This window comes from Homo sapiens, chromosome 3 (assembly GCF_000001405.40).
Source record: "Homo sapiens chromosome 3, GRCh38.p14 Primary Assembly".
Taxonomy (NCBI): Eukaryota; Metazoa; Chordata; class Mammalia; order Primates; family Hominidae; genus Homo; species Homo sapiens.
In genome coordinates this window covers 134684479-134709740 of record NC_000003.12, presented here as the reverse complement: position 1 = coordinate 134709740, position 25262 = coordinate 134684479, and the positions used below count along the sequence as shown (strand labels likewise).

The 25262-nt window shown below is 44.8% G+C and overlaps 1 protein-coding gene across 1 annotated transcript in view, besides 1 other annotated feature; it reads right to left on the bottom strand.

Annotated features, from left to right (window-relative positions):
• CEP63 (centrosomal protein 63) overlaps positions 1 to 25262 on the bottom strand; it is a 296836-nt gene that overhangs the window by 72819 nt on the left and 198755 nt on the right. The window lies entirely within an intron of this gene.
• Positions 15425 to 16103: an enhancer, noted in NCBI's record as "H3K4me1 hESC enhancer chr3:134412480-134413158 (GRCh37/hg19 assembly coordinates)". NCBI's record gives its function as "activates a minimal SCP1, AML or CMV promoter by ChIP-STARR-seq in primed H9 embryonic stem cells {active_cell/tissue: H9 hESC(primed)}" and the evidence as "EXISTENCE:reporter gene assay evidence [ECO:0000049][PMID:30033119]".

The window sequence follows — 25262 nt, the reverse complement described above, 5'->3', positions numbered from 1 at the left end:
CTGTCTCTATAAATGGAGAGGGACATATCTGATTCCCAGAAGGGATGCAAAGTTGCACTGGGAGAATATTTATGAGCAAGTGCTGCACTGCACAAGTGTCCATTTATTCATGTAAGAATTGTTTATGCAAAACCTATGGTAGGTGAAGTTTATGTCCTCAAAGAGGGCAAGTCCAGTGTGGGAAGAAGACATCAGAATAAATAGATGTCGCTCCCTGATAACTGTCTCTGACCAACCCCCACCCCCACCCCCCAGTTATTTCTGGGAGTCCTCAGATGTGTCTCACATGTGTTTGTGAACATGTCCTATGACTGATCATATAGCAGCAGTCATTCCCCTCCTCTGCTATTCTTTATTTTCTAGGACTATCAACTTGGCTATCTCCAAGCACAGTGGCATCCAGGTGCAATCACCCTCATCATTTCCTACCTCCACCCCCACAGCAATGTCCAATACTCTGGAATCCTGAAGTTGCCAAACTGGGACTAGAGCATCTGGAGCCTATGAGAACTGAAGCCACACTGCATTCTGTGCCTAGAGGGAGGAAATGTTCCTCTTCCTCGGCCTCCTCTCTCATGGGAAGCTCTATCATCTGGTGCCAAAATGAGGTGGCTCCTACGCCAAAGGTCTATCAAGGTCTTCATTAAAAAATATCCTTTCATCTGTACCTTTCATCTGTACCCTGGGTCTTATATGTGTCCACAGGACACTGAGCTGTGGGCAAGTCCAAGTGACAACCCCTATGAAGACAGTGGTTTTTTTCCTGAGCCTAAGTCCTGTCTGACTCCCTCTTCCCAGGAAACTCCTTAATCTCTCATAAAAATAATCTTCCCCCACCCCCACTAGCCTTCCAGACACACACTCACAGGGCTGAGTGACTGTGATTGGCTGCCCCCACAACACACACAGACACATTCACAAGGTGGTCGCCACCGCATCCTGAATCATCTTGCTTGGTCATCCCTCCATGATCAAGGTCCAGCACTCTTAAACTTTATCATTTGGGGGCAAAAGGGGGCAGGAAGGCATGTGCTTCTCCCCATATCCTCTCTTGTTACATCTCAGAGAAAGCCCTGAAATTTCAAAGGATACGAGTATTTAATAATTGATGGCAACAGAACATAAAACACCGTAGTCTGGGAACACGAAGTACAATATGGAGAAAAATGCCAGAACTGTGTTTGTGCTGTGATGGAATAAAAAGTATATAAACTTTTCAACAGCTAGACAGAACTGCAGAACAGGGGAAATATGAGGGCCACTCCAAGCCTGGAGAGGCCTGACAGGGCCCTTCATGACCAATTCTATCACACACAGCTTATAAATTTCCAGACTTCTTGCTCATTTCCTCAATGACACATCAAGATAATGAAAAATTCCCCTCTGCAACCCATTCCCCTGGGACCCTGGTCTCTGCCAGGCAAAGCATTATTGTTGTTGAAAATCTATGACTAATTGAACAAATTAATCTCTGATAAAAGATTAATGCAAAGATGGCAAATGGATTTCATTTCTGCTGCCAACTGTGATTGATTGGCAGGGGGTTCTTAGAATGCTCATTTGAGAAGGACTGTGGCCAGAGCTTAGCTCAGCAAGCAAGGGTGCAAGGATTGATTCACAATGTCTGCCCTGAGCCCTCCAGGGACAATGGCATTATAAGTGCTGCTTGTTTGCCATCCTAGGATTAGTGACTGCCCTAGGTTATCCTGTCCCTCCCTTGCATACACATGTGCATTTTGGCATGGTCCTTGGAGGAAAGAGGTCTTACCCCAATCAGTGAAAGACCGTGAGCCCTTGAGGATATGTGTGGCCAGATGAACCCTCCCAGCTCTTTTGGGGACAGCCCTTTCCATGCATTGGGAAGACTTGAGCTCACCAGCAGTGTCTCTGGGGCCTTCAATAGGGCTTCAACCCAGAGTGAGAGGAGGACTGATCATCCATCAATTCCAGTTCACCTCAATGAGCATCATTAATTGTGTTCTCCAAAAAAAAAAAAAAAAAGAAAAGAATCAAAGTGCACAAATACATCTTCTTTACCAGGGGTGCATTTATCCTGCTACTGAGGAGAAGCCTGCACTGTTCAACATCACCGTTGTACAACCTGAAAGTCAAGTCTGTGCCTAACAGCTGTTGCAAACTCTACTCTCTCACAGCAGGGGGAAGAGCAAGAGGAGACAGTAGTAGTGGAACTAGGAGTAGAGCTGATTCCAATGAAATATCAAGGAACAGGAAGACATCTGAAGCCAAGGGGAAAGACACAGAGATCCCTTATCTCCTCTTGCTTTTGATCATCCAATTGCTTGTGCTATCCATTCAGTTAGGATTGTGTAGCCCTCTGGCCCCTGTACCTTGTACTCCTGGTAGCCTAAATCTTACTCAGCTATGTATCAGGCCTTCCTTATTTATCTGCACTGGGCTGGTTGTCTTGCCTCTGAGCTCCTGAAAAAAAATCTCTGTATCTCTCAACCATTGCACTTAACATGCAGTTCTGTAGTTGCATATGTATGTGTCTCCTTTTATCCTCTATAGGAAAGAGACTGAGTAGGACTTACCACTCTAGGACAGAACCTAGTGCAGATCCTGGTATGCTGTGAGCATTCAATAAGTTTTGTTGAATGAATGGTGGAATTTGAGACCGTAGTGGTTGAATAGTGTCCCCTAAAAAGATATGTTCAAGTCCTAACCCCCAGTACCTGTTATTGTGACTTTTTTGGAAATAGGGTTTTTGCAGATAAAACTAAGTTAAAGATCTTAGGATGAGATCATCTTAGATTTAGAGTGGGACTTAAATCCAAAGATTGGTGTCTTTATAAGAGAAAGTAGAGAGAGATTTGACATGCAGAGATACACAGAAGGGAAAGCAATGTGAAGAGACAGGTAGAGAATGCAGGATGCATCTACGAGCCAAAAAACACCATGGATTGCTGGAGCCACCAGAAGCTGGGAAGGAGGCTTGGAACAGATTCTCCTTCAGAGCATCCAGCAGGAACCAACCCTGCCAATATCTTGATTTCAGACTTCTAACCTACAGAACTGTGAGAAAATTAATTTCTCTTGTTTTAAGCCACCATGTTTGCATAATTTGTTAAGGCGGCCCTAGGAAACTCATAGAGAGACTTAGAGGTGAACCTTGAGAATGTCAACCATCAAGGGGAGAGTTGATGAGACTGGAATAGGGTGAGGCAGGATAGGTCCCTAGGAGCAACCTTTAAGGAGACAGTCATTCTCAGGGTCTTACAGGTACCTCCTCCTAGTCTCAGTCCTAGAGTTAACAGTCCCCTGCCAAGATGTTCTTTCTCATCTTAGCATCTCATAGCTGGAGAGCCTTCAAGTCCAAACATACCCATTTTGTAGGAGAGGAAACTGAGACCTGTATAAGTAAAATGACTTGCCCTAAGTAATGAAACCAGTTAATAGAAGATCTGAGACTACAAGCTGATTTTAAGCCTACAGATCGACCAAGAACCCTAAAGATCAAAACTCCCACACCCTCAATTCCTGAGAAAACAGTCAATAGCTTGCCTAAGGCCTCCCACTACCACACCAAATTTTTCGTGACAGGGTGGAAAGAAATGGGTTAGGAAAGTTAAGGGACTTCTAATCAACATGTTAAAATTTCTACCACTTAGTTCTGTCCTCTCCCCTCTACCCACTAAGCCCTACTTCCACTTACCTTGTGACTTTGAGTTAGTGCCCCCCTCCACCACCACCAAACCTCTCTGAGTTTCTGTAAAATGATGGGTTAGTGCTGGTGGCCTCTGGTTTTTCCAGTTCAAATATTCCTGGTTTATAATCAATTCTATGAATTTGTCACTGAAAAAGTCACTTAACACACAGAAAGTTATGTAAGGTCCTGAATCAGAAGACTTCAACACAATCAAAATCATAATTGAAGAAAAGAAGAAATTCATACCTCTTCCCATCTATATCCTGAGCTTGTCCCACCAACAGCCTCCAGGACAATGAGAGCGAACCAAATGTGGTAAGTGTGAGCTCCCCACTGGCATTCAGGCCCAAGTACAGGTGAGCAGCCACCAACAGCTCTGAGGACTCAGCTCCCCATAAGAAGGGTTGGAGTCTGGTCAGGTACTCACCAAGGTGACAAGAAAGAGAATCATCCTCAAACATAAACCCTGGCTGTATTGAGACCCTGCACATTTAGATCTCACAGTGGATCTACTATGGTTTGGAGAAGGTTCATCCCCACCAAAACTCATATTGAAATTTGATTCTCAATGGAAACATATTGGGAGGTGAGGCCTGATGGGAGATGTTTGGGTCATGGGGGCAGGTCCTTTATGAATGGCATGGTGCCATTCTGGCAGTAGTGAGTTCTTGCTCTGGTGAGACTGGATTAGTTCTCAGGGAATGGATGAGTTCCTACAGGAGTCTCCCGTAAGACCCCCCACTCAGGTTTTGCTCCTTCTCATGTGTCTGCATCCCCTTTGACTTTCTCCACCATGTTATGACACAGCACAAAAACCCTCCCTAGAAGCTGAGCAGATGCCAGTGCCATGCCCCTTGAAATTCCCAGCCCACAGAACTGTGAGCTAAGAAACCTCTTTTCCTTATAAATTACACAGCCTTTTGTATTTTGTTATAACAACTCAAAATGAACTAAGACAGAATCCAAAAGGGTTGGGGACCCTTAGCCTCTTGCAGGTTATTTTTGTTTAATTTTGTTTGCTTTTCTAGGACTGCAGATATTCCTCCTAAAGCATTCTATATAAAAAGGAAGGTAGACTCTGGGGATGCTATTTGGGACCTATGGTTCTTGGAAACTGGTTATAAGACCTAAGCTGTTAGAAGAGAATCAAGCTGATTCTGCTCTGCTTCTGTAGGTCTAGTTTCTCTCTTCAAGGAGAGCTCAGAAACCCCTGCCACGCCCCACCTCTTCAACAAGCCATAGCTCTTCCATTCTGGGATTCACACACTATTTGCAGAAGTTCCCAGCCCAAGAGCAAGTCCCAGCTTGTCCAGCTAGTCCAAATAAAGCACATAGGGACCATGATGGCAGATTGGCTCACAGGCTCACAAGAGAGGTGCACTGCCCAGTGTCTGGGAGCAGACTCCCTCTGCAAATAGCAGGCATGGGCAAGCCCTGGCTCCAGAGGAGAAAGACTGCTGGAAATGTCTCCCCATGGACAGGGCTGGGGCTGGAACCATTCCTAATCATAATGACCTCTGGATTTAAGTGGAACAAACTTCTAAGAATGGCTTCCATCATTTTCTCTCTCTCTCTTTTTCTGTTTTTCCTTCTTTATCTGACTCTGTCTGCCTTCTCTTCTTCCTTCTCTCTTCCTGCTTTCGTTCTCTCTCTCTCTCCCTCTTTCCCTCCCCTACTAAATGTCTACTGGATGTTAGGTGTGGCCCTGGGTGCTGATGATGCAGACATGAATGAGGCCCAATTCTTCCTCAGGGAGCTCACAGACTGGAAAGAGAAGTCATAAATTTGCATATACAGAAGTACATGGCAGTGGGGAAGCACAAGAAATGGGATACCCAAGCCTGCTTCAAAGAACGTAACATTTGAGTTGGAATTTGAAGGATTAATAGATGTTTGTAAGGTGTGAAACCAGGGAAAGGCATTTCAGACTAAAACACTCTAGAAGACAAAATCTTCCTGGCCTGGGAGAATATGCAGCGGTTGGGAAAGTATGGGAAACATGGTATTGCCAGAGTCAGTTACAGGATAAAAGCATGGGGTTAAGCTGAACAGGTAAATAGAGATCACAAAGAGCCATGAGTGCTAAGGTAAGATTAATCCAGAAGCCAATGGGAAAGTATAATTTGAGCAGGAGAGCAGCCTAACCAGCTTTATCTAAGAGAGACTTCAGCATTCAAGTAGGATTTAGAAGCCTTTGGCAGGCAAATACTTCTGCCACAACATGTAGAAGTAAACGGATGCATTTAAAATATATATATTTTTCTATTTTTAAACTTTTTTCCAACTTTTAAGTTCAGGGGTTCATGTGCAGGATGTGTGGATTTGTTGCATAGGTAAACATGTGCCATGGTGGTTTCCTGCACAGATCATCCCATCACCTAGGCATTAAGCCCAGCATCCATTAGCTATTCTTCTTGATCTTCTCCCTCCTCCCACCCCTGATCTTTTAACAGGCCCCCGTGTGTACTGTTCCCCCCGGCCATGTGTCCATGCATCTCATCACTCAGCTCCCACTTATAAGTGAGAACATACGGTATTTGGTTTTCTATTCCTGCATTAGTTTACTAAGGATAATGGCCTCCAGCTCCATCCATGTTCCTGCAAAGGACATGATCTCATTCCTTTTTGCAGCTGTGTGATATCCCATGGTGTACATGTACCACATTTCCCTTATCCAGTCTATCATTGATGGGCACTTAGGTTGATTCCATGTCTTTGCTATTGTGAATAGTGCTGCAATAAACACATGTATGTATCTTTTTTTTTTTTTTTTTTTTTGAGACGGAGTCTCACTCTGTCACCCAGGCTGGAGTGCAGTGGCGCTATCTCGGCTCAGTGCAAGCTTCGCCTTCCAGGTTCATGCCATTCTCCTGCCTCAGCCTCCCAAGTAGCTGGGACTACAGGCACCCACCACCACGCCTGGCTAATTTTTTTGTATTTTTAGTAGAGATGGGGTTTCACTGTGTTAGCCAGGATGATCTCGATCTCCTGACCTCATGATCCACCCATCTCAGCCTCCCAAAGTGCTGGGATTACAGGCATGAGTGACCGCACTCGGCCACATGTATCTTTTTAATAGACTGTTTTATATTCCTTTGGGTATATACCCATTAATGAGATTGCTGGGTCAAATGATATTTCTGCCTCTAGGTCTTTGAGGAATTGCCACACTGTTGTCCACAATGGTTGAACTAATTTACACTCTCACCAACAGTGTAAAAGCATTCCTTTTTCCCCACAACCTCGCCTTCATCTATTGTTTTTTGACTTTTTGATAATGGCCATTCTGACTGGTGTGAGACGGTGTCTTTTTGTGGTTTTGACTTGCATTTCTCTAATGAGCAGTGATGTTGAGCTTTATTTAATGTTTGTTGGCTGCATGTATGTCTTCCTTTGAGAAGTGTCTGTTCATGTCCTTTGCCCACTTTTTAATGTTTTTTTCTTGTAAATTTTTTTCTTAAACAAATTTACAAGATGGTTGTAGGTCAGATGGTTGTAGGTGTGTGGTCTGATTTCTGGGTTCTCTAATCTGTTCCATTAGTCTATGTGTCTGCTCTTGTACCAGTACCATGTTGTTTTGATTACTGTAGCCCTGTAGTATAGTTTGAAGTCAGGTAGCGTGATGCCTCCAGCTTTGTTCTTTTTGCTTAGGATTACCTTGGCTATTCGGGCTGTTTTTTTTTTTTTGGTTCCACATAAATTTCAAAATAGTTTTTCTTATAATTCTGTGAAGAATGTTAGTGGTAGTTTAATGGGTATAGCATTTAATCTATACCTTGCTTTGAGCAGTATGGCTATTTTCCTGATATTGATTCTTCCCATCAATGAGCATGGAATGTTTTTCCATTTTTTTGTGTCATCTCTGATTTTTTTGAGCAGTGGTTTGTAGTTCTCCCAGAAGAGGTCCTTCACTTCCCCTGTTAACTGTGTTCCTAAGCATTTTTTTCTTTTTGTGGCAATTGTGAATGGAAGTTCATTCGTGATTTGGCTTTTGGCTTGCCTGTTGTTGGTGTCTAGGAATGCTAGCAATTTTTGCACATTGATTTGTCCCTCCATCACAGAGACATTTCCCAATAACATCTTTCCAATACAGTCATATCAAAGATTAGATCAAAGCCCTAGCCCAGATTCAGTAGCTTGTTTTTGTGGGATGGGGAGGGATGTAGGGTCTCACTGTCTCTTATCCTGAAACTTTGCTGAATGAAGTTGCTTATCAGCTTAAGAAGCTTTTGGGCTGAGATGATGGGGTTTTCTAGATATAGGATTATGTCATCTGCAAACAAAGATAGTTTGATTTCCTCTCTTGCTATTTGAACACCCCTTATTTCTTTCTCTTGCCTGATTGCCCTGGCCAGGACTTCCAATACTATGTTGAATAGGAGTGGTGAGAAAGGGCATCCTTGTCTTGTGCCATTTTTCAAGGGGAATGCTTCCAGCTTTTGCCCATTCAGTATGATACTGGCCATGGGTTTGTTATATATGGCTCTTATTATTCTTGTCACTCTTGAATACCCTTGATGTCCATAGTATTTTACTCAATCATTCAAGAAAGAAAGAAGTTTTTTAAATATATATAATGTGTATGTATATATATATGTGTGTGTGTGTATGTATATATACACATATATATGTATATATACACATATATACGTATATATATGTGTGTATATGTATATATACACATATATACGTATATATGTGTGTGTATATGTATATATACACATATATACGTATATGTGTGTGTATATGTATATATACACATATATACGTATATATACACATATATACGTATATATGTGTGTATATGTATATATGTGTATATGTATATATGTGTGTATATATACGTATATATACACACATATATACGTATATATGTGTGTGTATATATATATAATGTATGTATGTATGTATATAATGTATGTATGTATATGTTGGGGCACTGTATGCCAAGCACAAATGCTCTACCTGGGCTTCCAGTTGCTCATGGTGGATTGAACACATGTGTCCTCTTCAAACCCCAACAAAATGACACACACAAAAAAACATATAAAAGCAGAACTAACTCATAGGGAGAAAAACAATGGAGGAAGATGACAGCAAACAAGATGCATGAGCGAAATGTACTATGGAAAGCAGGCAGACAAGGACAAGCAAACTGGCAGACCAGCCAAGGGAGAGCAACACACCTCTGATGGGAGGGGAGCCAAGAAGGAGCTGGTTTCTGCTGCAAACCTGTAACTGTAAGAATGGAAGGCTCTGAAGGCAGGGGGCAAGTGGGGCTGAAAACAGGGGAGTGGGGTGAAGATCAACCTAAGAGACAGTGAGACCTTCATCTCCCTCCCCATCCCACACAAACAAGCAACTGCACCTGGACTAGGGGTTTGATCTAATCTGTGATATGACTGTATTGGAAAGATGTTACTGGGAAATGTCTGTGTGATGGAGGAGGATGATAAGGAAGATAAATCTTCTTATTCCGTGGTTGGAATTCAGTAAAAAAAAAATAACTAAAAACCTAAAAATCAAATGCTAACAGTATAAGGGTGGTAGAAACTGCCAAAATTATTGAAAGCGTTCACCTCTGGGAAGTGTGAATTGTGACTGAGGAGGGGTGGGATAGGAACCTGCTGTTTTTCATTATAAGCCTTATAGGACTATTTGTCTTTTTAAACTATGCCCATGTATTACTTTTATAAAAATAAAAATTGAATTTCTGGCTGCTGTGTGAAGAATAGATTGGAGGAGGACATGGGTAGCACTGGGAACCCATTAAGTGGTTCAGGGGAGAGCTGTTGAGCGCCAGGGCCAGCGCGGCAGGAATGGAAGTGGAGAGGACAGGATATGTTCGCAATGTTTGGAAGACAGAGTCAGCAGAACTTCCTGAAGGACTGAATATTGGCAGTGAAAAAAATCAGAAGAATCAAAATATAGTTTCTAGGCATTGGGTTGGAGGAACTCAGTACAGGCAGAGTGAGCACTAGGGTGGCACAAGCCAGCCACCAAGGGCACAACATGTAAGGAGGCGCTCACTCTTGGCATCATGCAAGTTCAGAGCGGACCCCTGAAAGTGAGAGCCTCTTGACATGTGCCCTTGGCATCTCATGGCCTCACCACGAGCCCAGCCTTGACTCAGTCAGTTCTGGAGCTATTTACTGAGCATCAGGGCTGGGAACAATTAGTGGCAAAGCATGGGGTTCACCAGGGAGGACAAAGAAGGAAAAAGTGTTCTTCTGGACAAGTCATGATTAAGACATCTGTTAATGATCCACATGAAGTTGTCAAGCATGACAAGTCTGCAGCCCAGGATGACAGTCAAGGTTGGAGATAGAAATCCATCCTTGAAAGCTTGAAATTATGAGCTGAGATTGGATAGCCGAGAGAGTGATTGTGATGTGTACAGGAGGGACCAGGTCAGAGACATTCCCACATAGAACCGTGAGGACGACAAGGCAGACAGACAAGGAGCAGCCATCAGAGTGTAGGGAGGCCAGGAAAAGCTGGTGTTTCAGAAGCCAAGAACAAAGTGTTTGCCAAGAGACAGTCTGTCCTGTATGCTTCAGCCCTGCCTCTCCTGACAGAAATTGTACTGTGAGGAGGAGCAAAATGCTTCCTGCTTCTGTCTTGCCCAAGGCTAGCCGCTTGTGTGTTCACCTGGGGCTTGGATAGCGCACTCTCTTTTCCACCTATGGTGGCACCTTTCTGTCAATCCTGTCCCCTCCCAACTTCCAGGCCACAGCGTGCCCTACAGTTTGCAGCTCCTCTCATCCCAGGACCGATCCATCCAGCTTGGTGACTCCGGGTTTGACCCTGCTGCTTTCTAAGGACTGGACTTTAGTCATTCATTTAACAACTGTTTAAGCACATAATGTGTTAAAATGGTGCTAGGCACAGGGGATACAGAGGTGATTAGGACAGATATGTTTATCCAGGGCAGTCCACACTCTCCTGAGACATTTCCTGCTCTGGGCCCCCTTCAGATAAAATACCTCATCTACCTGAGTCTGAATTTGGCCCCAGCCCACTGGCTAGAGCCCCAAGCAAGCCCACTCAGCCCTCTCCAAGTAGTGAGAGGCCTCAGTATTTCCTCTCCAATGAAGTACAGCCTCATTGGAGCAAAGAACCATCCACTTTGGAAAAAGATCTATTCAGGACGTGCTGAAGAAGAGCTAGCTGGTGATGTGCCCATCCAGCTCAGAACCTCATACAGTGCCTGGAATACTGTATACATCCCAGTGGTGTGTGAAACGATGGATGAATGAAGTGCTCACCCTGTGTTAAAATACAAAGACATAGAAAGTCTTTTCATGGGAGACATTGATGGAGGTAGCCTGAGAAAGGAGAGAGCAGTATCAGACTACCTGGAGACAAGGTGTGGGCGAGGGCAGCCTGAGGTCATGTACCTGCTCCCCACTCCACCCTGGAGTTAGCTCAGCACCCTATTCTCCAGAGCGTGAGGCTTTAGCAGCAGTTTGGAGCCACCTCTCAATAATCTCTGCCTGACAGGCAGCAGCTGCAAACTTCCAGCAAGAGACTGCATTCTTGGCAGGTCATTCCTGGCCTCCCAATCCCATCTCTATGGAAATTGGCCCTGGAGGTGGAGGATGGAGACGGCAGCCCCTCCATGCCCTCACTGGCAGCCTTTGCTTTTGCTCACATCCCGCCCCCCTTCACTCAGAAGCCAGAGAATCTAGCCTATCTGATGAAAGATCCCATTTATTGGTCTCTGGCTCTACTGAAGTGCTGCTTGGCATGCCCCTTTGCCAGCTCTGTAGAACTTTCCAGAGTCAGCTGTCCAGGTACCTATATTTGGCTATCCTACCAAGCCCTAGAGCTGATCTCCACTGCAGCCTAGCTGCTTTGGGAATCTCTGCACGGATACACAACTTGCTGGTTTGAAAACAAATACTGATAAGAGCTGCTGAAGGTGAAGCAGTTGGAAAGTGTGCCATCCATGCTGTGCCGTGGGGTGTCAGGTTGGCGGGGTATCTGCCCATGTCTCCACCATCCCATCAGACACCCTGAGCAGAATGGCAAGACTGTGCACGCAGTCTTCCATGTCTGGACAACCTGTATGTTCATGCTGTGCATCTGACACTCGTGTCCTAACGGAGGGACATGTGTGCATCAGAGGACAACCCACATTCTGCTCCAGGCCCCGCCTGCCAGCCAGCTGGAGCTCCACTCCCAGCCCATCAGTTTCATACTCCTTGATTTTCCCAAGTGGTTGAATAGTTTACTGTCGGTTACTCTTGTCATTTTACAAAAATGACTGGGAAATGAGAAGAAAAAGCTAAGTGCTAATGATAAGAACAGGCCTCAAAAGCTCAACACAGTTGACACGAACGTGGGAATCAGCAGGCATTACTGAAAGAAGCAAATCTGCCGCCCATAAGCTGAGGCCCATTAGCTTAGGCCTGTGAGCAGTGTGTGTGCAGGTGTGGGTACAATCATGAGGGAAGAGGGCCGAGCAAAGAGCATGAGTGCTGGGAACACTCCAGCACCTTTGAAGACTGTGTCTCATAGGAATGCCATGGAAGGTGTAGTCCTCCAAACACTTCCATCTCCCCATACCTCTTTCTAAAGTGGGATTCTGTTGTAGGACCTGTACACAGCCCATCTACATGCATGTTTTCAGAAAGCCACGTGCCCAAAACTAAATGCCAGAGGGTCTGCCCCTGCTTGAGAGGGCAGTGTGTGTATGTCTTGCCATCGAAAACACCCTGTCAAGTTTTATCCCACAGTGTTATGACAAAGCCTCCACCCAACACTAAGCTTATCTCTTCAAAAAAAAAGTTCTTCTTTATGTTAGGCTGAGATGCTACTCCCTCTACACATCTGTCCTTGATGCTAGTTTTACTGTATGTGGCATTCTTAAGAAATCCATTCCCTGTCTCACAGGAGAGCCCTTCAAACATTTGAAGATAGCTGCTGTGTTCACACCACCTCCCTTTTCCCACTCTCAATAATTCCTCAAGGGAGTTGGTATCTTGACCAGACCAATCACTCACCCCTGGACAGGTTCTATTGTGTCAAAGCTCCTTGAAGAAGGGCTGGTGCTTTAGCAATGTATGTCAAGTAACTTAACAACGTTCATAGTTTTACTTCCATGATCTGACTTCCTGAAATGTATCCTAAGGAAATGATCACATAAATATCTGGAAGAGCCAAGTTTTGCTCTTACAATTCCCTCCTGAATTATTAGCATTTATTATGCAATAATGGGAAAGTGGACACATAAAGTATGTCACATCCATATCATGATGGAATATTGTATAATCATAAAACACTATCTTTTTGACAAGTAAGGAAAAAAGCAATATACATGTTTGAATACTCAATATTATACACACGCATACCCTCTTGCACACACTTACACATATACACACACACACGTGGGCATGGAAACACCCTTAAAGGTGAACAGTTCCCACCATAATACCACCAATGCTTAGTTGATGGTACTATGGGCAATCATTCTTTCTCATTTTGTCTGCATTTCTTCAATATTCCACAGTGATCATATACTACTTCTAATTCACACAAAGAAAAGTTATTGTTTAAAAACATGATACCCAGAATCAGACTCAGGATGCCGCATGTAGTCTGAGCAGCACAAGGCTTGGTCTTGTCCAGAAGTACAACAGGCACTGTTGGCTCCTGTTACACTCACTGTCAACCAACAGCCCTGAGACATTTTGCAGGAGCTGCCCTTAACCCAGCACTCCCTGCTGGTGACACCATGTGAGTGATGATTTTTGCCATAGTACAGAGCTTGTCCCAGGCAGAGAATGCACAAGCAAAAGAAGATGAAGGCGGCAATTCAAGGGCAAGTCACGCTTAGAGAGTGAGTAAAACACTGCCCACAGCGACATGTCTGCCTTTCACATATTCCCCTTGGAACCAGACATTGCCAGGCCATTTTCATATATTAAGGGTGGCAAGGTAGACTAACTTCAGCCACATGACACGCTCCTCTGTGTCTCTAAAAGAGCCTAACCAGGTGTTTGTCTTATTAGGCAGACAAGGTGGAAAGCAATGTCTGATGGGCAAGGGAGAAGTACACCAGGGTGGTGAAAAGCCCGGGGGCACTCACTAGCTATGTGTCCTTAGGCAAGTTGTTCTACTTAACCTGTCTGAGCCTCAGTTTTCACCAGTGTAAAATGGAGATACCACTGGGACTATGTCCCCAGATTGTAGTGAGGATTCACTGAGTTAGTACACATAAGCACTTTGAACCATAGCTATCAGCCATCTGTGTTCACAAGCCACACAGGCAGACCAGGAAGGAGACCTCGGTTGCTTGGCCCTACCTCCAGTGCTCGGGCCATCATGCCCACTGCCCTCTAATCAGTTTCCTAGGCGCAGGTGAGTTACAGAAGTAGAGAGGCATGTGCACCAGCCATTACGCCTTTCTCTGGGTACGGTCCAGAGCCCCTTCTTTCCTTCCGGGAGTCTATAAGACCTTACTGCTGTGCCTCTGCCCAGCTTCACCACCACAGCCAGCACATGTGGCATAGCCGTCACCTGCCAGGATCCATCTCCGTCTGCTCACAGAGACCAGATGGGCCACAGTGTCCTCCTGTGAGTCGGGTCTCTGATGCAAGGAAGCAAGAAAGGTCATCACCATGTATGGGCAGGCCCCATCTCTCTGTAAACTCATCTCTCAATAAATGATGAGTGTTGCCACCTCTTACTCGAGAAGCCAGGCAATGTATGCTCAAGTCTTTCCAATCAGAGTTGTTTCTACAAGCCTTTGGCTTCTGTGGGGAACATTTGGTTTCAAAGGAAATGGGATTTCCCCTTCAATATTCTTCTTGGATGACAGGTCTGTGATTGGAATCAGGACATGAAAAATCATGCCCCAGTGGTTATTTCCATTAGTGGCTCTTGACTTTGCAATGACACCCGCAGCACAGAGAGCCCAGTCCCTCCCACCTCCTACCCCGCACAGCTCAGGCAGGTCCCGGCCGGCTGACCTGGAACTTTTTGGTATTTCAGATCCCTGTGCTATCTGGTCAGGAGCTTGACTAACTCATCTTTGCAAGAACCTGCTTCACAATTGCTATTTACATCACTTTCCCTCAAGACCCTGGTCTTGTCCAGCCATCTTCCACACCACAATGTGCTGGAAACCCTTACATGCACACACACAAATACAAACACACGTGCCCACACATGTGCACACACCCACACAGCAAACGCTTGGTTCTCTATCTGTGGCAACCAAACCTTGTGAAGTGCTAATTTGCCTGACATGCTGAGAAAGAAAAACTTGTTTATTGTCTAGGTTGCAGGGTGTCAGAACCCTGTGGAGCCTCAGTGAAAGAAATGAAGGGGGAGCTGAATGCTGAAAAGAAGAGCAAAATGAGACCACACTCAATACTGAATCCTTGAAAAGGGCTCTGTGAGAAAGAATGCAGTGAAGCAGCAGCCCCTGGCATCTGGCTTGTGAGCCTGTTCCTTGTCCTAGGCTGGAGCCCTGGAGGACAGTGACACACTTGTTATGTCCCTCACACCCAGCACAGGCCCAGGCACAGACAAACATTCCAGACAAACAGGCACAGACAAACATCCTTGTTGATGCTGGAATGAAGAAGAGTGAAGATGAGCAGGGTAGATCAGCTCCGCTCAGGGACTCCAGGCTGCTCTTTTACTTAACTTGGGGAAGGGTTTGGGGAACAACAGTGACTTTGCTGAGCAGGATGTCAACTGAAATTAGGCATCTTCTGCAGCCAGATGAGGAGCCTGGACAGAGGGCTAGGAGGGAGGGTGCCTGGCTCCACAGTGCTCACAGGCCTATTCTGGACCAGGAGAGCAGGCGTGCAGCTGCAGCATTGAGCATGGGGGTGCCTACACCTGCCTGTCTGCAGGGTTGTCATTAGCATGGAGTCCACCTTACCTCCAGTAACCTCAAGGGGCCATTGAGAGCCCCCTGCCCTTCACATTGAATGACAGCTATGCTCAGGGGCCTGGAGGCTGGAGGCTTTCCTTTCTGAAATGGGGCCAGAGGACAGTGAACTGGTGGAGAAGGTTAGCATCAGGGCCTTGGCCAGGAGCATTGCCCACATGCCCGTGGGATGGCTGCCAACATTCCTGCAGGATGCCATTGCCTTCCACTCAGATCCCTGAGCCCAGAACGTGAAGAGTGAGTGGTAACACATAGGGGCTGCTTCTCACGCACCGCCAGGAAGACATGGACCCTGAACTCAATACCAGGCCCCCGGTAATCGGTCCATGCACGTGAGGCAAAAAACTCCTGTGGAGAGCAGCCAAAGGACAGCCCTGCCCCTGCAAGCCCTTGCACTCAGGTTCTCTACGTTCTTTAGCCATGAGGCTTCCAAGAGTTTGGTGACCATGGGCTGAAATCAGTAGCCTCCGAAGCCAGCCCAAACAAGAAGTTTCTCTACAGAGGATCCCGTCTTCTGGGAACATCTGAGCCTCAATTGCAGCTAAACATCTGCCATAAATGAGCGCATATTTTTCTGTTTCCCTCCATTTTATATAAAGAATCTTTCTATCCAATGAAGAAAACAAAAAACGTCTTGCATTGATTACGAATTGTGTTTGGCAACAGAAATCTGAAAGGCAGTGACTTAAACACAATGGGCTTTTTTACTTTTCTTTTTTTTGCTTACAGAAGAAATCTGGAAATAACCCAAAACTTTTTTGGCAGCTCCACAAAACCATTAGGGAACCAGTCAGTTTCTGGCCCTCAGCTTTGCTGTCCTATCTCCAGGTATGGCTCTTGTCCTCATGTCTGCAAGATGACTCTGGAACTCCATCCATCATAGGTGAGTTCTAGGCAGGACAGTGTAAAAGCGAAAAGGGCAAACTGTGTGTGCTATGAATGCATTCTATTCTAAATGAGCTTCCCTAGGAGCCCCACCCAACAGCTTTCTTGAATATCTTATTGTCCAGAACTGTGTTATATGACCATCCCATCTACAAGGGACGCTTGGAAACACCTTTCTTTTCCTGAACACTGTCCCAACAGAATAGGGTCTCTGTTAATTAAGAAAAGGGGGAGAAAAGATATGGGGTGGGCAACTGGAAGTCTCCACCAGGCACCTGTATAACAGCTCTGGCTTCAACCAGTTATTGAAGGGTATGGAAAATGGATTCAAGCGAGAAAGAGAAGGAAGAAAGAGGTGGAAGAGAAGGGAAAGAAGCAGAGCGGGAATGCCAGGCTAACCCAAATAAAGTATGTACCCAGAAGAGTGTTAGGGTGACCAACGGTGACCAACAGCCATAGTGTGCTAAGGACATAGGACTGTCAGTGTTGGAACCAGGGCAGTCCCAGGCAAACAGGGACAGCTGGCCACCCTGAATGTGCACACGTCTGTGTGAAGGGGGTCTTTTGAGACTAGATATCTTGAACTGGTGCTTCTCAAGTTGTTGTTCAAGGACCCCTGGACAAGAGACTTTCAGGGGACCTGTGATGTTAGACTACTTTTCTAATAAACTAAGGTATTATTTGCCTATTTTACTCTCTTTTCTCTCGTGAGTAAACAAAGGAGTTTTGCAGAAGTTATATGGCATGATATTGCAAAGATTGGATACAAAAGCAGATATAAGAATCTAGCTGCCTTCCCTATACACCATGGAATACTATGCAGCCATAAAAAAGGATGAGTTCATATCCTTTGTAGGGACATGAATGAAGCTGGAAACCATCATTCTTAGCAAACTATTGCAAGGACAAAAAAAAAACAAACACCGCATGTTCCCACTCATAGGTGGGAATTGAACAATGAGAACACTTCGACACAGGAAGGGGAACATCACACACCAGGGCCTGTCATGGGGTTGGGGGAGGGGGAAGGGATAGCATTAGGAGATATACCTAATGTAAATGACGAGTTAATGGGTGCAGTACACCAACATGGCACATGTATACATATGTAACAAACCTGCACGTTGTGCACATGTACCCTAGAACTTTAAGTATAATAAAAAATTAATTAATTAATTAAAAAAAAAATCTAGCTGCCTTCTATTCTGTTAGAAAAAGGAAATCAAGGCACCAAACACCAAAGGGATATTCAGTACATGTAAAAGAATGCCGGCTGGGCATGGTGGCTCACGCCTGTAATCCCAGCACTTTGGGAGATCAAGACGAGCAGATCACAAGGTCAGGAGTTTAAGAGCAGCATGACCAACATGGTGAAACCTCATCTCTACTAAAAATTAGCTGGATGTGGTGGCACATGACTGTAATTCCAGGTACTCAGGAGGCTGAGGCAGGAGAATCGCTTGAACCCGGGAGGCAGAGGTTGCAGTGAGCCGAGATCATACCACTGCACTACAGCCTGGGCAACAGAGAAAAATAAAAAAAGAATGCCATTCTCTTTACTATTTACTTTTGTTTGGGAAAATAGATTTGTTTTCATGAAATATATTAGCATGTAATGATTTGTTATGCCTGTTTTTAATGAACTGAGAAATATTTTTTTTTTGAGACAAGATCTCTCTCTGTCACCCAGGCTGAAGAGCAGTGGTGTGATCTCAGCTCACTGCAACCTCTGCCTCCTGGGTTCAAAAGATCCTCCCAGCTCAGTCTCCTGAGCAGCTGTGACTACAGGCACACACCACCACACCCAGCTAAATTTTTTTGCTATTTTTGTAGAGACAGGGTCTTGTCATGTTACCCAGGCTGGTCTCGAACTCCTAGGCTCAAGCTACCTGCCCACCTCAGCTTCCTAAAGTGCTGGGATTACAGACAGGATCTCTCTCTGTCACCCAGGCTAGAGTGCAATGGCACGATCTCAGCTCACTGCAACCTCTGCCTCTTGGGTTCAAAAGATCCTCCCAGCTCAGCCTCCTGAGTAGCTGGGACTACAGGCATACAGCACGACACCCAGCTAAAATTTTTGGTATTTTTTGTAGAGACAGGGTTTTGTCGTGTTACCCAGGCTGGTCTCAAACGCCTAGGCTCAAGCCATCTGCCCACCTCAGCTTCCCAAAGTGCTGGAATTACAGGCATGAGTCACCATGCTTAGCCAAGAAATAATTTAAAAAATATCTTGGCCAGGCACGGTGGCTCACATCTGTAATTCCAGCACTTTGGGAGGCCAAGGCGGGCAGATTACCTGAGGTCAGGAGTTTGAGACCAGCCTGACCAACATGGCAAAACCCCGTCTCTACCAAAAATACAAAAATTAGCTGGGCATGGTGGCGGGAGCCTGTAATCCCAGCTACTTGGGAGGCTGAGGCAGGAGAATCGCTTGAACCCAGGAGGTGGAGGTTGCAGTGAGCCAAGATTGCACTGTTGCACTCCAGCCTGGGTGACAGAGCGAGACTCTATCTCAAAAAAAAAAAAAAAAAAAAAAATCTTGGTCTTCCTTTCTAATATGATTAAGTTGATAGCTGTAACCTACATTTTTAAAAAGTTCTTTGGCATTCTCACTAATTTTTAAGAGTTTAAAGGGATGCTGAGACCAAAGAGTTTGAGATCTATTGTCCCAGACTAAACTTGGAAGGATATAGAGTGGAGAGTTACAAGATAAATCTCCAGTCAGTTAAAGAATGGAAACAAGAGGAAGGCTGGACCTTGTGGAAACTGGCATCAGAGGCAGCATCCTATGAGCCTCAGCAACAATGTGTGTGAATAAACACTCTATTGCAGTGCAGCTTAGAAAGTGGTTTGTGGACCAGGACCAGGCTGCAAACTCTTCACCACAAGTTACTGTTGAAGGAAGTACGGAAATACAGGAAGCTTTTAGAAACTTCCATAACAACTTGACAGAGTAACTTTATGTCTGTTGAAACTAATAATAAGAAAAGTTAGGCTTGTATTTTGTATATCTTCTATCATTTTATCTTCCCAGCAATTTATTTTTACTATGTTTTATAAAAGTATTCCATGGTGCATTATAAATTTTTTAAATATGGCCTTTTCAAGTTTAAGATTAATATAAAGGATAAATACTAATTATCCAAGCAAAGGGGGGAACAAAGTATTACATAGAAAGATTTGTGCTTCACGAGAAAACTATGCATTGTCTAGAGTACATCTTTCCTTATTACCTGATTCTAACCTTTTATTGAGCTATTCTGCAGTTTATAAATTGTAAATAACTAATAGCAATGAAAAATAATTTCTGCCTGTAGATATGCAAAAATTCTGTCAGGCAATTGACTTCCCTTCCTCGCTATGGAAGGGGCCAGCTTTGCCCCCACTTGCCCACTCTTTCAGTGTTCCTGATCTATAATTACACATGATTTTGGATTCTCCATTGACTTAGTTGTAACATCTTACTGGTTTCTCCATTAATGCATTAAATAAAATCATTAGTACAGGTTCATTAAAAAATAATATGGGGCTTGGCACAGTGGCTCATGCTTGTAATCCTAGCACTTTGGGAGGCTGAGGTGGGTGGATCACTTGATGTCAGGAGTTCAAGACCAGCCTAACCAACATTGCAAAACCCTGTCTCTACCAAAAAATGACAAAAATTACTTGAGCGTGGTGGCAGGCTCCTGTAGTCCCAGCTATTTGGGAGGCTGAGGTGAGAGAATTGCTTGAACTCAGGAGGCAGAGGTTGCAGTGAGCCGAGCTCATGCCACTGTACTCCAGCCTGGGTGACAGAACAAGACCCTGTCTCAAATAATAATAATAATAATAATAATAAATAAGGTCCTTTACATTATTTACAAACCATAGTTTGTGAAGCTCTGTTTTTGGACTCCACCATTGATGTGACTCAATTGCCTTCTGGAAGTCCTTCAATTCTCATCTTGCTACCTGCTGACATCTGTATTCAGCTACGTACATTTTTTTCTGTCTCATAGTTTTTTTTTCTTTTCTCCTAGTTTAGGCTTCCTCATCATTTTGGCTATGGCACAGAAAAGAGGCCACAAGAAGTCATCATAAGCCGAAGAGAAAGCACTGTGTTAGATGCTTTATGAAAATGAGAGAGAGAGAGGGAGAGAGAGAGAAAATGAGGCCAACAGGAGATTCAAGAGCTGGGGACTACAGAGGAATCATTTCATACACAAGCTGGAGATAACTGTGTTGTGCCCAACCATCACTAAACACCTTTTATTGTTTTGGTGAACAAAACCACACCTATATGAAATCAATGGCTCAATGCTCATCATTAGAAGAGATCACCAGGGTCTCCAAGCCAGAAGCTAACCCCAGCCCCAGGAGCTAACCCTTGGTGGAAGAAGACCTTTGTCATGAGGATCCAGATGCTGGGGAGGTTTCCATGAAGGCTGAGACTTCAGCTGCAGAGGAGAGCATCCAGTGGCCAGGGACCCTGACATTTGTGGAAGCCAAAATGATGGTCTCAGCCATTTGCCTTGCCATCCTGGTGCTTGGTGGGGAAGTGGGTGGAGGAGTCTCTGAGGTTCCTGTCTTGTGCAGAAACCCTTCTTCCCACTTTTGCTCCTGATGGAACAGCACCCAGATTATCTCAGTTCCCTGTGATCAACTTGGTGCACCTGTCAAATAAGGCACCACAGCAGGGACAACACACGAGTCTACTCTGACTCGCCACTGCAAATTCAAAGCTTTTAAAAAATAGCTTCATTGAGCTACAGTTTATGTACCATAAAGTTCACTTGTTTTAAACAGGCAATTCAATGATTTTTAGTAAATTTATGGCACTGTACAACCGTCACCACAATCTAATCTTAGAATATTTCTCTCACCCCAAAAAGTAGCTTTGTGTCCATTTGCAGGTACTGCCTATGCTCAAGGCAACCACTAATCTACTTTCTGTCTCTACAGATTTGTCTTTTCTGGGCATTTCATGTAGATGGAATCGTACAATATACATAATGTCTTAAAATTCCATCCATATTATAGTATGTTGATCCATACTTCATTCCTCTTTGTTGCAAAATAGTAATCTATTGTATGGATATACCACATTTTGTTTCTACATTCACCAGGTGACGGGCATTTGGATTGCTTTCACCTTGTGGCGATCATGAATAATACTGCTATGAACATTCTCATACAAGATTTTATGTAAGTTTAGGTTTTCATTTCTCTTGGATAGATACACAGAAGTGGGATTTCTATATCATATGGTAAATTAATGTTTAATTTTTCAGAAACTACAAAATGTTTTTCCAAAATAGCTGTACTATTTTACTTCCCCGTCAGTGATGCGTGAGGAATCCATTTGCTCCACAGCCTTTTCAACACTTGATATTGTCTTCCTGTTTCATTTGAGCTATTTGTGGGTTGTGAATTTGAATCCTGAGCCAAGCAACACAAGGACAGTCCACAGCTGTGGCTGACCCATCCTGGGGGCAGTGCCCTGAGGAGGCTGCCTCCATCCTGCCACAGGTGTGGGGCCACCTGGATTCCTAACTTTTTTGAGGCCTGATTATTCTACTCTCTGTGGAGTCTGTAGATTACCCTACATCCTGCCAGTAAAACCATTTTCTAAAAATTTAAGTTAAGCAGAGTGGGGTTCTGTCACAGCCACTTGCATTTGAGTAACACACTTCCCACAGCCCTCCATCCTGATCTCTGCTGGAGCTAACACATCCAAGGTCTCATCTGAGCATTGCCTACCAGGGATGCACCAGCAGGCACCCTGGGGGTGAGGATTTGTTCTTAACAGAGATAACCACTGGAGAAAACCCCACAGCAATAAGAATGGTGCTATCTCCCAGCTCTTCAGGCACCTAGGCAATAAGCTGCACGTTCATCCAGGCTGAAGCTCACCGCTCTGTGTTTGCTGCAGTCTGAGTCAAGTTAAAGTTAGAGTTTCTCCATATGTTTTCCAGAGAATCACATAAAGTTGTGAGAGGGGGTAGTAGTAACCTTTGAGAAATTTGATGAAGATAAAGGCACACTTGCTGAGTATCAGAAAATGTGTGTTCTAATGTGTATTGAGAATTTCTCCATGATGCATTTTTCCTGGTGACCAAAGTTGGTACAATGAAAGCACAGAGAGCTGTGTGATCTGGAGTGAGCTGCTTGACCTCTCTGAGCTATAGCTTGTAGGACCATTGTGGGTCTTGTAGATGAAGTGAGCACCAGCATGGTTGACTACCTTTCCCAGCATTGTCATTGTGCTAAAGTTTACTGAAAGAAAATGAAATAAAATAGTACTCTCCCAGTATTTTGCTCTGGGGGAAGGCCCTTCAGACTCTGCATGGAGGAGGGAGTTTTCTGCATCATGGTGCAGAAAACAAACTTCCATGCTAGATGTATTTAGTGCAAGTCATATTGTACATGCTGTGTGCAGTCAGGCAAGTTATCCCATCTCTTTGGGCCTCAGTTTCTCCGTCCCTAAAATGGTGTCAATGATATTGCTTTACTCCATAGAGTGTTTGTGAGGCTCACATGAGACTACAAACAAAGCACTAAGCACCGTTGCTGGTACTCAAGAAGCACCCATTAGCATTCACTGTGTTTGTAGTTGCAGTTACTTGCGTCTTTGTGACCTTTCCCTGAGTTGGGAGCAGCCCTTCTTACCACTGCTGATGTGGAGCTGACTTGGGGATGAGTCAAGCTTATGTCCGCTGTGGACAGTGGAGGATCAGGATAAAATAAGCAAAGCTTCAAGGCCCAGAGCAACACCCACTTCCCCTGCAAGGCTTCTGACTGTGGGATCCTGGCTACTGCCCCTGGCTAGAAGACTCTTGGCCAGTACCTCAGCCTGCTGACCCTAGCCCAGGTCAGAAGTGTGCTTGGTCACCTGAGCTCTCCAGCCCCTCCCGGCCCAGAAAAACAGGTGTGCATGCTCAGTAACTTGAGCCTACCTTCTGAAGGCCTGGGAAATTGAGAGAGGACAGATAACTCTTTCTCTGGACAACCACAAGGCCAATAAACAAGTCTTCAGGGAGACCATGGCCAGCTGTAGGTTGTGCAGGGCCGGCTGTCAGTTTGGGGGATTATCTAGGACTTTTGCTTTTCATAGCAGCAGCAGCAGCCGCCACCACCATTTGTTGATCACCCAGTGCCAGGTACTGTGCCAGGTTCTTTCCATGCTCTTTCCCACTTCTTCCCTTGTGCAGCCCTGTGAGGAGAGGAGTTGCTTACAGCACAGACATCGGAGTCAGACAGACCAGGGCTTGGACCCCAGCCCTGCCACAGGCTGATTGACTTGGAGCAAGTCAGTGTTTGAGAATTAGAAGAGGAAATGTAGGTAACATTGGTAGCCCAGAGCCTGGCATGGAGTAGGCCCTAAACACGTGGCAGACAAATTCTGGGAGAGGTGCCCCCACTTTATACAGGAGGGCACTGAAGCCCATTTGGCCAGACCCAAAAGTGGATCTGACGAGCTCCTGTTCTCATCCTTTGTGTACACGACATCACCTTGGGTTGTGTTCCCAGCCCTGGTAACTGTTCTGATGGAGAGACTAGACAGAGGGGAATTCCTGGGTTCAGTAGTTAAAGTTAGAGTTTCTCCATACATTTTCCAGAGAATCACATAAATCACCAGCCAGAAGAAGGTGAAAAGCACCAGCTAAGAAAAGGGTGGCATCATCTGTGGCTTCTTATTGCCCAAGCTCTTCTGTCCCCAAACCAGGACATTCTTCAGAAAGGGATAAAGATGGGCACACAGAGATGAAACCGCAAGTTGTTTTGTTCCAACCACTGACTATAACCCATACACACAGAGCTACCAGCCACATGTTTATGCCCAGACTCTAGAACAAAAGGCAAAGGATAAAAACACATAAGAATCCCATACAAGGGGTGAGATGGGCATCCCCAGAGAGAAGGCTTCAGTATGTTTGTGTTCACGTTGCACTTACCTGGATGCTACGGGTCAACAGAGTGCTGCCCAAAGCTCTGCAAGGGGTCTAGGTGGTCAGAGTTCCCCCAAAGTCTTAATTATTTTCATCATTGCTTCATCTCAACGTAGTTTAAATTGGTATAAATACACTTATGAATAAGATGTTTGGCATGAAGATATGCATTTTCTCCACACAAACAATTTTATACATGATGTTTAGGTTATAAGTTTAATCCATAAAGCTCTGTTTAAACCATAAATTCAGAAATACTGTCTTTTAATGAAAAAAATATTTATGTTAGAACATATGAAACACGTGCAGCCTAACTAAACACACTATAATGTCTACCCAGCATCCATGTAATCCTTCTTCCTTCCTCCAATCAGGCCATGTGACCCTAGGGACCCTGGATTCTCCCTAGCCCCAGCGAGGATCCAGATTAGGGAAGCCATCACAATAAGCATATCTCATGCCAATGCTGGGTTCAGGGATCCTTCTGACAACTGTCAGGGTCCAGAGAGGGATATGAGGCCTAAATTGGTCCAGTTGGACTGAAAGTGAACTGGGAGTGAAAGTGAAGTTTCCTTGCTGTGTTGCCAAATACAAACCCAAAGGTATATTGTCCCTGTTGCTGCAGAAGACCACCTTGCAAGCACAGCTGAGGTCTGCCTGGGGACAAAGTTGCAACAGATGGGCACAAACCAGGAAGACCATGGGGAAACCAAGCCTGACTTCAATGTGCCCGGCCCAGTCGGCCCTACCTTTGCACTTCCTGCTTTGCAGGATGGTGAATTCCTTTGTTGAATTAGAGGGAGTTTTCTATTATTTGTAGCAGGAAAGCGTCCTTGCGATGGCAGGAAGTATGTCCATAGATGAATTGAATGAG